Source organism: Homo sapiens, chromosome 3 (genome assembly GCF_000001405.40).
Source record: "Homo sapiens chromosome 3, GRCh38.p14 Primary Assembly".
Taxonomy (NCBI): domain Eukaryota; kingdom Metazoa; phylum Chordata; class Mammalia; order Primates; family Hominidae; genus Homo; species Homo sapiens.
In genome coordinates this window covers 99,726,578-99,738,786 of record NC_000003.12, presented here as the reverse complement: position 1 = coordinate 99,738,786, position 12,209 = coordinate 99,726,578, and the positions used below count along the sequence as shown (strand labels likewise).

At 38.8% G+C, this 12,209-nt stretch overlaps 1 protein-coding gene across 2 annotated transcripts in view, besides 1 other annotated feature; it reads right to left on the bottom strand.

Annotated features, from left to right (window-relative positions):
• COL8A1 (collagen type VIII alpha 1 chain) overlaps positions 1–12,209 on the bottom strand; it is a 160,624-nt gene that overhangs the window by 60,431 nt on the left and 87,984 nt on the right. The window lies entirely within an intron of this gene.
• Positions 7,115–7,214: an enhancer, noted in NCBI's record as "active region_20148". NCBI's record gives its function as "activates an Ori minimal core promoter by ATAC-STARR-seq in GM12878 lymphoblastoid cells {active_cell/tissue: GM12878}" and the evidence as "EXISTENCE:reporter gene assay evidence [ECO:0000049][PMID:35858748]".

Genomic DNA, 12,209 nt, shown 5'->3' with positions numbered 1-12,209 from the left:
TTAGGTAAACAAAGCAGCCAGGAAGCTCGAACTGGGTGGAGCCCACCACAGCTCAAGGAGGCCTGCCTGCCTCTGTAGGCTCCACCTCTGGGGGCAGGGCACAGACAAACAAAAAGACAGCAGTAACTCCTGCAGACTTAAATGTCCCTGTCTGACAGCTTTAAAGAGAGCAGTGGTTCTCCCATCACGCAGCTGGAGATCTGAGAACGGGCAGACTGCCTCCTCAAGTGGGTCCCTGACCCCTGAACCCCGAGCAGCCTAACTAGGAGGCACCCCCAGCAGGGGCACACTGACACCTCACACGGCAGCGTATTCCAACAGACCTGCAGCTGAGGGTCCTGTCTGTTAGAAGGAAAACTAACAAACAGAAAGGACATCCACACCAAAAACCCATCTGTACATCACCATCATTAAAGACCAAAAGCAGATAAAACCACAAAGATGGGGAAAAAACAGAACAGAAAAACTGGAAACTCTAAAAATCAGAGTGCCTCTCCTCCTCCAAAGGAACGCAGTTCCTCACCAGCGATGGAACAAAGCTGGATGGAGAATGACTTTGAGGAGCTGAGAGAAGAAGGCTTCAGATGATCAAATTACTCTGAGCTATGGGAGGACATTCAAACCAAAGGCAAAGAAGTTGAAAACTTTGAAAAAATTTAGAAGAATGTAAAACTAGAATAACCAATACAGAGAAGTGCTTAAAGGACCTGATGGAGCTGAAAACCAAGGCTCGAGAACTACATGAAGAATGCAGAAGCCTCAGGAGCCGATGCGATCAACTGGAAGAAAGGGTATCAGCAATGGAAGATGAAATGAATGAAATGAAGCGAGAAGGGAAGTTTAGAGAAAAAAGAATAAAAAGAAATGAGCAAAGCCTCCAAGAAATATGGGACTATGTGAAAAGACCAAATCTACGTCTGATTGGTGTACCTGAAAGTGATGGGGAGAATGGAACCAAGTTGGAAAACACTCTGCAGGATATTATCCAGGAGAACTTCCCCAACCTAGCAAGGCAGGCCAACGTTCAGATTCAGGAAATACAGAGAATGCCACAAAGATACTCCTTGAGAAGAGCAACTCCGAGACACATAATTGTCAGATTCACCAAAGTTGAATGAAGGAAAAAATGTTAAGGGCAGCCAGAGAGAAAGGTCGGGTTACCCTCAAAGGGAAGCCCATCAGACTGACAGCGGATCTCTTGGCAGAAACCCTACAAGCCAGAAGAGAGTGGGGGCCAATATTCAACATTCTTAAAGAAAAGAATTTTCAACCCAGAATTTCATATCCAGCCAAACTAAGCTTCATAAGTGAAGGAGAAATAAAATACTTTACAGACAAGCAAATGCTGGAGATTTTGTCACCACCAGGCCTGCCCTAAAAGAGCTCCTGAAGGAAGCACTAAATATGGAATGGAACAACCGGTACCAGCCGCTGCAAAATCATGCCAAAATGTAAAGACCATCGAGACTAGGAAGAAACTGCATCAACTAATGAGCAACATAACCAGCTAACATCATAATGACAGGATCAAATTCACATATTATTAACTTTAAATGTAAATGGACTAAATGCTCCAATTAAAAGACACAGACTGGCAAACTGGATAAAGAGTCAAGTCGCATCAGTGTGCTGTGTTCAGGAAACCCATCTCACGTGCAGAGACACACATAGGCTCAAAATAAAAGGATGGAGGAAGATCTACCAAGCAAATGGAAAACAAAAAAAGACAAGGGTTGCAATCCTAGTCTCTGATAAAACAGACTTTAAACCAACAAAGATCAAAAGAGACAAAGAAGGCCATTACATAATGGTAAAGGGATCAATTCAACAAGAAGAGCTAACTATCCTAAATATATATGCACCCAATACAGGAGGACCAAGATTCATAAAGCAAGTCCTGAATGACCTACAAAGAGACTTAGACTCCCACACATTAATAATGGGAGACTTTAACACCCCACTGTCAACATTAGACAGATCAACGAGACAGAAAGTCAACAAGGATACCCAGGAATTGAACTCAGCTCTGCACCAAGCGGACCTAATAGACATCTACAGAACTCTCCACCCCAAATCAACAGAATATACATTCTTTTCAGCACCACACCACACCTATTCCAAAATTGACCACATACTTGGAAGTAAAGCTCTCCTCAGCAAATGTAAAAGAACAGAAATTATAACAAACTTATCTCTCAGACCACAGTGCAATCAAACTAGAACTCAGGATTAAGAATCTCACTCAAAACCGCTCAACTACATGGAAACTGAACAACCTGCTCCTGAATGACTACTGGGTACATAACGAAATGAAGGCAGAAATATGGCGCATGTATACATATGTAACTAACCTGCACAATGTGCACATGTACCCTAAAACTTAAAGTATAATAATAAAAAAAAAAGATGTTCTTTGAAACCAATGAGAACAAAGACACAACATACCAGAATCTCTGGGACGCATTCAAAGCAGTGTGTAGAGGGAAATTTATAGCACTAAATGTCCACAAGAGAAAGCAGGAAAGATCCAAAATTGACACCCTAACATCACAATTAAAGGAACTAGAAAAGCAAGAGCAAACACATTCAAAAGCTAGCAGAAGGCAAGAAATAACTAAAATCGGAGCAGAACTGAAGGAAATAGAGACACAAAAAACCCTTCAAAAAATTAATGAATCTAGGAGCTGGGTTTTTGAAAGGATCAACAAAATTGATAGACCGCTAGCAAGACTAATAAAGAAAAAAAGAGAGAAGAATCAAATAGATGCAATAAAAAATGATAAAGGGGATATCACCACCAATCCCACAGAAATACAAACTACCATCAGAGAATACTACAAACACCTCTATGCAAATAAACTAGAAAATCTAGAAGAAATGGATAAATTCCTTGACACATACACCCTCCCAAGACTAAACCAGGAAGAAGTTGAATCTCTGAATAGACCAATAACAGGATCTGAAATTGTGGCAATAATCAATAGCTTACCAAGCAAAAAGAGTCCAGGACCAGATGGATTCACAGCCGAATTCTACCAGAGGTACAAGGAGGAGCTGGTACCATTCCTTCTGAAACTATTCCAATCAATAGAAAAAGAGGGAATCCTCCCTAACTCATTTTATGAGGCCAGCATCATTCTGATACCAAAGCCAGGCAGAGACACAACAAAAAAAGAGAATTTTAGACCAATATCCTTGATGAACATTGATGCAAAAATCCTCAATAAAATACTGGCAAACTGAATCCAGCAGCACATCCAAAAGCTTATCCACCATGATCAAGTGGGCTTCATCCCTGAGATGCAAGGCTGGTTCAATATATGCAAATCAATAAATGTAATCCAGCATATAAACAGAACCAACGACAAAAACCACATGATTATCTCAATAGATGCAGAAAAGGCCTTTGACAAAATTTAACAGCCCTTCATGCTAAAAACTCTCAATAAATTAGGTATTGATGGGACGTATTTCAAAATAATAAGAGCTATCTATGACAAACCCACAGCCAATGTCATACTGAATGGGCAAAAACTGGAAGCATTCCCTTTGAAAACTGGCACAAGACAGGGATGCCCTCTCTCACCACTCCTATTCAACATAGTGTTGGAAGTTCTGGCCAGGGCAATTAGGCAGGAGAAGGAAATAAAGGGTATTCAATTAGGAAAAGAGGAAGTCAAATTGTCCCTGTTTGCAGATGACATGATTGTATATCTAGAAAACCCCATTATCTCAGCCCAAAATCTCCTTAAGCTGATAAGCAACTTCAGCAAAGTCTCAGGATACAAAATCAATGTACAAAAATCACAAGCATTCTTATACAGCAACAGCAGACAAACAGAGAACCAAATCATGAGTGAACTCCCATTCACAATTGCTTCAAAGAGAATAAAATACCTAGGAATCCAACTTACAAGGGATGTGAAGGACCTCTTCAAGGAGAACTGCAAACCACTTCTCAAGGAAATAAAAGAGGATACAAACAAATGGAAGAACATTCCATGCTCATGGGTAGGAAGAATCAATATCGTGAAAATGGCCATACTGCCCAAGGTAATTTACAGATTCAATGCCATCCCCATCAAGCTACCAATGCCTTTCTTCACAGAATTGGAAAAAACTACTTTAAAGTTCATATGGAACCAAAAAAAAGCCCGCATCGCCAAGTCAATCCTAAGCCAAAAGAGCAAAGCTGGAGGCATCACACTACCTGACTTCAAACTATACTACAAGGCTACAGTAACCAAAACAGCATGGTACTGGTACCAAAACAGAGATATAGTTCAATGGAAGAGAACAGAGCCCTCAGAAATAATACCACATATCTACAACTATCTGATCTTTGACAAACCTGAGAAAAACAAGCAATGGGGAAAGGATTCCCTATTTAATAAATGGTGCTGGGAAAACTGGCTAGCCATATGTAGAAAGCTGAAACTGGATCCCTTCCTTACACCTTATACAAAAATTAATTCAAGATGGATTGAAGACTTAAATGTTAGACCTAAAACCCTAAAAACCCTAGAAGAAAACCTAGGCAATACTATTCAGGACATAGGCATGGGCAAGGACTTCATGTCTAAAACACCAAAAGCAATGGCAACAAAAGACAAAATTGACAAATGGGATCTAATTAAACTAAAGAGCTTCTGCACAGCAAAAGAAACTACCATCAGAGTTAACAGGCAGCCTACAAAATGGGAGAAAATTTTCACAACCTACTCATGTGACAAAGGGCTAATATCCAGAATCTACAATGAACTCAAACAAATTTACAAGAAAGAAACAAACAACCCCATCAAAAAGTGGGCGAAGGACATGAACAGACACTTCTCAAAAGAAGACATTTATGCAGCCAAAAAACACATGAGAAAATGCTCATCATCACTGGCCATCAGAGAAATGCAAATCAAAACCACATTGAGATACCATCTCACACCAGTTAGAATGGCAATCATTAAAAAGTCAGGAAACAACAGGTGCTGGAGAGGATGTGGAGAAATAGGAACACTTTTACACTGTTGGTGGGACTGTAAACTAGTTCAACCCTTGTGGAAGTCAGTGTGGCGATTCCTCAGGGATCTAGAACTGGAAATACCATTTGACCCAGCCATCCCATTACTGGGTATATACCCAAAGGACTATAAATCATGCTGCTATAAAGACACATACACACGTATGTTTATTGCGGCATTATTCACAATAGCAAAGACTTGGACCCAACCCAAACGTCCAACAATGATAGACTGGATTAAGAAAATGTGGCACATATACACCATGGAATACTATGCAGCCATAAAAAATGATGAGTTCATGTCCTTTGTAGGGACATGGATGAAATTGGAAATCATCATTCTCAGTAAACTATCGCAAGAACAAAAAACCAAACACCACATATTCTCACTGAGAGGTGGGAATTGAACAATGAGATCACATGGACACAGGAAGGGGAATATCACACTCTGGGGACTGTTGTGGGGTGTGGGGAGGGGGGAGGGATAGCATTGGGAGATATACCTAATGCTAGATGATGAGTTAGTGGGTGCAGCACACCAGCATGGCACATGTATACATATGTAACTAACCTGCACAATGTGCACATGTACCCTAAAACTTAAAAGTATAATAATAATAATAAAAAAAAGAAAGTTTAAAAAAAAAAAAAAAAGAAAAAAGCTGGGAGAGAGGCTGTACCCTGCAAAGCCACAGGAGTAGAGTTGCCCAAGGCCGTGGGAGCTGACATTTTGCATCGGCATGACCCGGATATGAGACATTGAGACAAAGGAGATCATTCTGGAGCTTTAATATTTGGCTACCCTGCTGTATTTTTGACTTGCATGCGGCCTGTAGTCCTTTCGTTTTGGCCAATTTCTGCCATTTGGAAAGGGTGTATTTTCCCAATACCTGTACCCCCATTGTATCTTGAAAGTAACTAACTTGCTTTTGATTTTATAGGCTCATAGGTGGGAGGGACTTGCCTTGTCTTAGATGAGACTTTGGACTTGGACTTTTGAGTTACTGCTGGAATGAGTTAAGACTTTGGGAGACTGTTGGGAAGGCATGATTGTGTTTTGAAATGTGAGGACATGAGATTTGGGAGGGGCCAGGGGCAGAATGATATGGTTTGGCTGTGTCCCCACCCAAATCTCATCTTGAATTATAGTTCCCGTAATCCCCATGTGTCATGGGAGGGACCCAGGGGAAGGTAATTTAATCATGAGGGTGGTTACCCTTATGCTGTTCTCAGGATAGTGAGTGAGTGCTCATGAGATCTGATGGTTTTATAAGGGCCTTTTCCCCCTTTTGCTTGGCACTTCTCCTTGCTGCTGCCATGTGAAGAAGGATGTGTTTGCTTCCCGTTTCACCATGATTGTAGTAAGTTTCCTTAGGCCTCCCCAGCCATGCTGAACTGTGAATCAATTAAATCTCTTTCCTTTATAAATTACCAAGTCTTGGGTATGTCTTTATTAGCAGCATGAGAAGGGACTAATACACCTGGATATTTGGAAACTTGATTTACCACTTTGACTTGGATTCTTCATATAAGGAAAATGAGCTGAGTACCTATTCCATTGAATATGGTGATGATTAAAAGAATTTATGTATTTATAAATAAGAATGCATTAATCGTTTTATTTATTTATTAGTTTTTGCCTTAAAACAACAAAAATATATTCTCTCCAAGTCTGAAGTCTGGAGTCTGGAAGTCCGAAATCAAGATATTGGCAGGGCTATGCCCCCTCTGAGGGTTCTAGAAAAGAATTCTTCTGCCCCTTCCAGCTCTGGTGTTTGTTAACAAGCCTTGCTGTCTCTCAGCTTGTAGAGGCATCACTCTCATTTTGTTATGTGGCCTTAATAGTTTTATACTTATATTTGTGTGTTTATAAATAATAAGCATAATAATTGTTCATGAGTGTTGTCTCTTCTTATAACCCAAGGACACCATCTGACCTCCATATCTGAATTCACACCACTTTCCAAATTTACTGAAAGTTCTTTCACTCTGGCTCCTTTGATACCTCCGTTTCTACCATAGTCCAGTTTCTATACCATAGTCAGATCTTGAGAACAAAAACCAAAACAAATGAGTCAGTTTTCTTGCTTACATCCCTTCAGTGGTTGCAATTGCCTTAAACACACCTCTACTCTTGCTCTACTCTGTGCACAGCAGATGAGGTGCACTTTGAAAAATGTAGATCAGATCATGGCATTCTCCTGCTTCTGTACCCCAGTCCCCATACCCAATAGCTCCCCATGGCACTGAGAATGAATCTAAACTTATTTCCTGGCTGCTATGCCCCACATTATTCCCACTCTGGCTTCTTTCCAACCTTGACCTCTCCCTTCTTATCCTCCACCCTGGCCACACTGGCCTTCAACTTATGAAAAACAGAGAGCTGATCCTTACTTATAGGGCTTTGCCATTCCTCTGTCTATAATGCTCTTCCTCCAGAGCACTGCATGGCTGTCTGGACGCTTCACCATTTCAATCTCCTCTTGAATATCACTTCCTCAAAAAGGTTTTTCTTGAACATCCAATCTAAAGTTAAGCACTCATTTTTATATATATTTAATTCTCTTTAATTCTGTAGTAGCAGTGATAGCTTCCTTACTTAATTATACATTTTGTTTATTTTCAGTCTGTCTCAACCCCTATCGTTCTTCTCTCCCCAACTACTCCAAAGCAGGAAACTTGCTTTGTGTACTGTAACATCTTTTGCAACCAGAACCAGGCCTGGCACATGGTAGGCATTCCATAAATATTTACTAGACTCCTTACAAATAAATATTCTTTGTGCTTTTGAAACACAGAACTTAGCACTACAAAAGAAACGTCATGACATGATTTTTAAAAAAGAACAGAAATTGTAAACTATATGGGCATTTTAAAAGACTTTAATGGTTCTGATTAGAGTTAAGTACATAGCTTCAATTTTGAAAAAAGAAAAGGCCACAAACAAAAATTACAAAAGCATAAAATTATTTCATGAGTTCGCTGAGAGCTCTTTTGTCAAATCAGTATTTTAAAAACTGTACCACCACTCAACAGGCTCCTTGCTTTGAAATGAATAACGTTCACTTCTCACCAATATTTTTATTGCTGCCAAATATGTGATTTATTTACTGAGTAAGGAACAAGTCTTAATAAAAAGACTTTCCTTTCACACTGAAAGTGTTGAAAAAAGTGTTTCATTTTTGGAGGCTAGTTTAATACAAGCCTCCAGAATGAGACGTCTTAATGACTCCATTGAGTGCATGGGAGTTCAAGCTGTTTCTCTATCATTCACTCTGGGGTGCAGGAAACTTAGTGGCTGGGCTTCAGTGGCCAGGTATGATAACAAGACTCAAAATCTAAATTGTCATTTACAGATATGTCATAACATTTCAAAAAATATATAGTATTCTCTCAGATGATCAGGCAGGAGTTTTGATATGCATTTCAACATAGCCTATCTTCACCAGTTTTGAATTTCCTTCACAAAACAGGCTTACCACATTCTTATGGTTCCTGAAGGAAGAGGAAACACATATTTGTTAAACATGTCCTTTGAGCCAGTCTCCTTCCTAATTGTGTTATCTGCACAGTCTCATTTAATCCTTACGACTGTGCAGTAAATGAATAAAGGCAATGGAAATAAAGATTCTATTCTTTCATGCAATGTTGAAGGAGAAGATTGGTGAAGAGGAATCAGGAAAAGAAAGGAACTGCCTATTCTTATCCCATTGACATCATCCCAGAGTTTGGTTTCAAGTTTTTTAAGGGATGCTGTATTTTATTTTACTGATTCATGGCAGTTGTCTGGAGCATGACAAATGTTCATTGATCAACAATGCTATTAAATTGGGCACAAGGTTTCCATAGGGACTGCACATTTGTGTTGTATTAAAGTGCCAGGATTTAGAAAAAGACAATTGGGTGAGGCATCTTGAGGTTCCTTTAAGCTATTCTTACCTTCTCATAGAGTAGTACATCTGATTTGGTTTCATGCTTCTTATCATGCTTGGAGAGCTAGAGGAAGGGGTGGGGAGAGATAATTTCCCTTTCTTTACCCATCTGAAGGAACTCTTTAAGCCTTTGGCTGATTTTTTACAAAAACTAAAGGTTGTAGAGTCTCATAAAACTCTAGGATTATGACATCCATTTCTAAAGAAATAGGATCAATTCTGAACTAACAGCTAATCATGATAAATTAGAAGAGAGGAAAAAATTCCCTAAGGATGTACTAAGGCACCATCGAGTGTCTAGATTGGTAGATCACTGGCTTTCTTTTGAGTACATTATGTTTAGAGAGACCTTAATTTTCCTTTTCTTTTTTTAAAAAAAATAAAACCCATGCAATGGTCTCATGACCATATTTAATGGTTTCAAAGTTCAAAGAAGCCAAACCTAAATAATCTGGTAAAGGAAAACACTGAAAAGATCTAAATAACTGAAGTTTGTATGAAATCTTTGGATTCTATTAGTTTGGAATAAAGAAGGTAGGTGTGAGAAATTAACACTTCAATATGTAAGTAAATTTGAGAAAAAGCAACATCAGCTTAGAGAGCTGGAGAACAGAAGCTTCCATAGTTGGAAGCTAAAGTTAGGCCCTCATACTATAATTTAAGTGGCAATGTTTGACAGAAGATACCTATAAGATTTTCATTCTAGTGCATCCTTCTGATACTTTTGAAATAGATGGAAATATATCAAATGTTTCCCAGAATTCCTCATTCTTGTTGAGGAAATATGGAAGGTGAAATACTAGCTTTTTTTCAAATGAAACAACTGGATGAACCTTCAGTCAGGAAAACATATTGAGAATATAATGGTGATGCAGGACATGGTCAGAGGTCTTCTAAATAACAGAGGTCAGGAAAAGACAGGCTTTTTCTAATGGTAAATATTAAAGAAGAACATGGCAGGAAGTCTTCTTTTACTTATCCAGATATTTGAGAGTATAGAGCAAATCTTAAATTGAACCAAAAAGAGTGAAGTAAGTGGATTCCTTTGCTTGGGCTAATAATATTATGAGATACTTGTATTCAATTATCTTGACATTTACATGATGATCCATTCATATATTTAACCATACAATTAATTAATTGAATAATTGATTAATTAAATACTATAGGTAAGCTAAGATGGCCAGTGAAGCCATTTGTATTGGGCAAGTTTAAAAAAGAAATTCACTGGGTGACTACAATTTGACTTAGTTTTTCCTGAGGTTAAAAGTTGTATTATTCCTGTTTAAGATTAATTGTTGATATGTATTCAGTAAGAGCTAAATCATTAAAATGATGCTCTGTAAAATCATTTTATGTAACTTTAAAATAAATGTGAAAAATTTCAAGTGTATTTTGGTAGTCACTTGCCCTGCAGAACAACCATAATCTAGACCATGGTAGGAGGAAGCAGGAAGGAGAAAAATATGTGCTGTGTGTGTTTGGGATATGATCCAGGTTCTGAAATGCTCTAGAATCTTGGTAGAACGAGCAGGTAGATCCTGAGACTTTGCTGAAGTTGCTTATCAGCTTAAGGAGATTTTGGGCTGAGACAATGGGGTTTTCTAGATATACAATCATGTCATCTGCAAACAGGGACAATTTGACTTCCTCTTTTCCTAATTGAATACCCTTTAATTCCTTCTCCTGCCTAATTGCCCTGGCCAGAACTTCCAACACTACGTTGAATAGGAGTGGTGAGAGAGGGTATCCCTGTCTTGTGCCAGTTTTCAAAGGGAATGCTTCCAGTTTTTGCCCATTCAGTATGACATTGGCTGTGGGTTTGTCATAGATAGCTCTTATTATTTTGAAATATGTCCCATCAATACCTAATTTATTGAGAGTTTTTAGCATGAAGGGTTGTTGAATTTTGTCAAAGGCCTTTTCTGCATCTATTGAGATAATCATGTGGTTTTTTTCTTTGGTTCTGTTTATATGCTGGATTACATTTATTGATTTGTGTATGTTGAACCAGCCTTGCATCCCAGGGATGAAGCCCATTTGATCATGGTGGATAAGCTTTTGGATGTGCTGCTGGATTCGGTTTGCCAGTATTTTATTGAGGATTTTTGCATCAATGTTCATCAAGGATATTGGTCTAAAATTCTCTTTTTTTGTTGTGTCTCTGCCAGGCTTTGGTATCAGGATGACGTTAGCCTCAGAAATAATGCCGCATATCTACAACCATCTGATCTTTGACAAACCTGACAAAAAACAAGCAATGGGGAAAGGATTCCCTATTTAATAAATGGTGCTGGGAAAACTGGCTAGCCATATGTAGAAAGCTGAAACTGGATCCCTTCCTTACACCTTATACAAAAATTAATTCAAGAATCACCACTCCTATTCAACATACTGTTGGAAGTTCTGGCCAGGGCAATTAGGCAGGAGAAGGAAATAAAGGGTATTCAATTAGGAAAAGAGGAAGTCAAATTGTCCCTGTTTGCAGATGACATGACTGTATATCTAGAAAAGCCCATCGTCTCAGCCCAAAATCTCCTTAAGCTGATAGGCAACTTCAGCAAAGTCTCAGGATACAAAATCAATGTGCAAAAATCACAAGCATTCTTATACACCAATAACAGACAAACAGAGAGCCAAATCATGAGTGAACTCCCATTCACAATTGCTTCAAAGAGAATAAAATACCTAGGAATTCAACTGACAAGGGAAGTGAAGGACCTCTTCAAGGAGAACTACAAACCACTGCTCAATGAAATAAAAGAGGATACAAAGAAATGGAAGAACATTCCATGCTCATGGGTAGGAAGAATCAATATCATGAAAATGGCCATACTGCCCAAGGTAATTTAAAGATTCAATGCCATCCCTATAAAGCTACCAATGACTTTCTTTACAGAATTTGAAAAAAACTACTTTAAAATTCATGTGGAACCAAAAAAGAGCCCGCATCGCCAAGTCAATCCTAAGCCAAAAGAACAAAGCTGGAGGCATCACACTACCTGACTTCAAACTATACTACAAGGCTACAGTAACCAAAACAACATGGTACTGGTACCAAAACAGAGATATAGATCAATGGAACAGAACAGAGCCCTCAGAAATAACGCCGCATATCTACAACTATCTGATCTTTGACAAACCTGAGAAAAACAAGCAATGGGGAAAGGATTCCCTATTTAATAAATGGTGCTGGGAAAACTGGATAGCCATAGGTAGAAAGCTGAAACTGGATCCCTTCCTTACACCTTATACAAAAATCA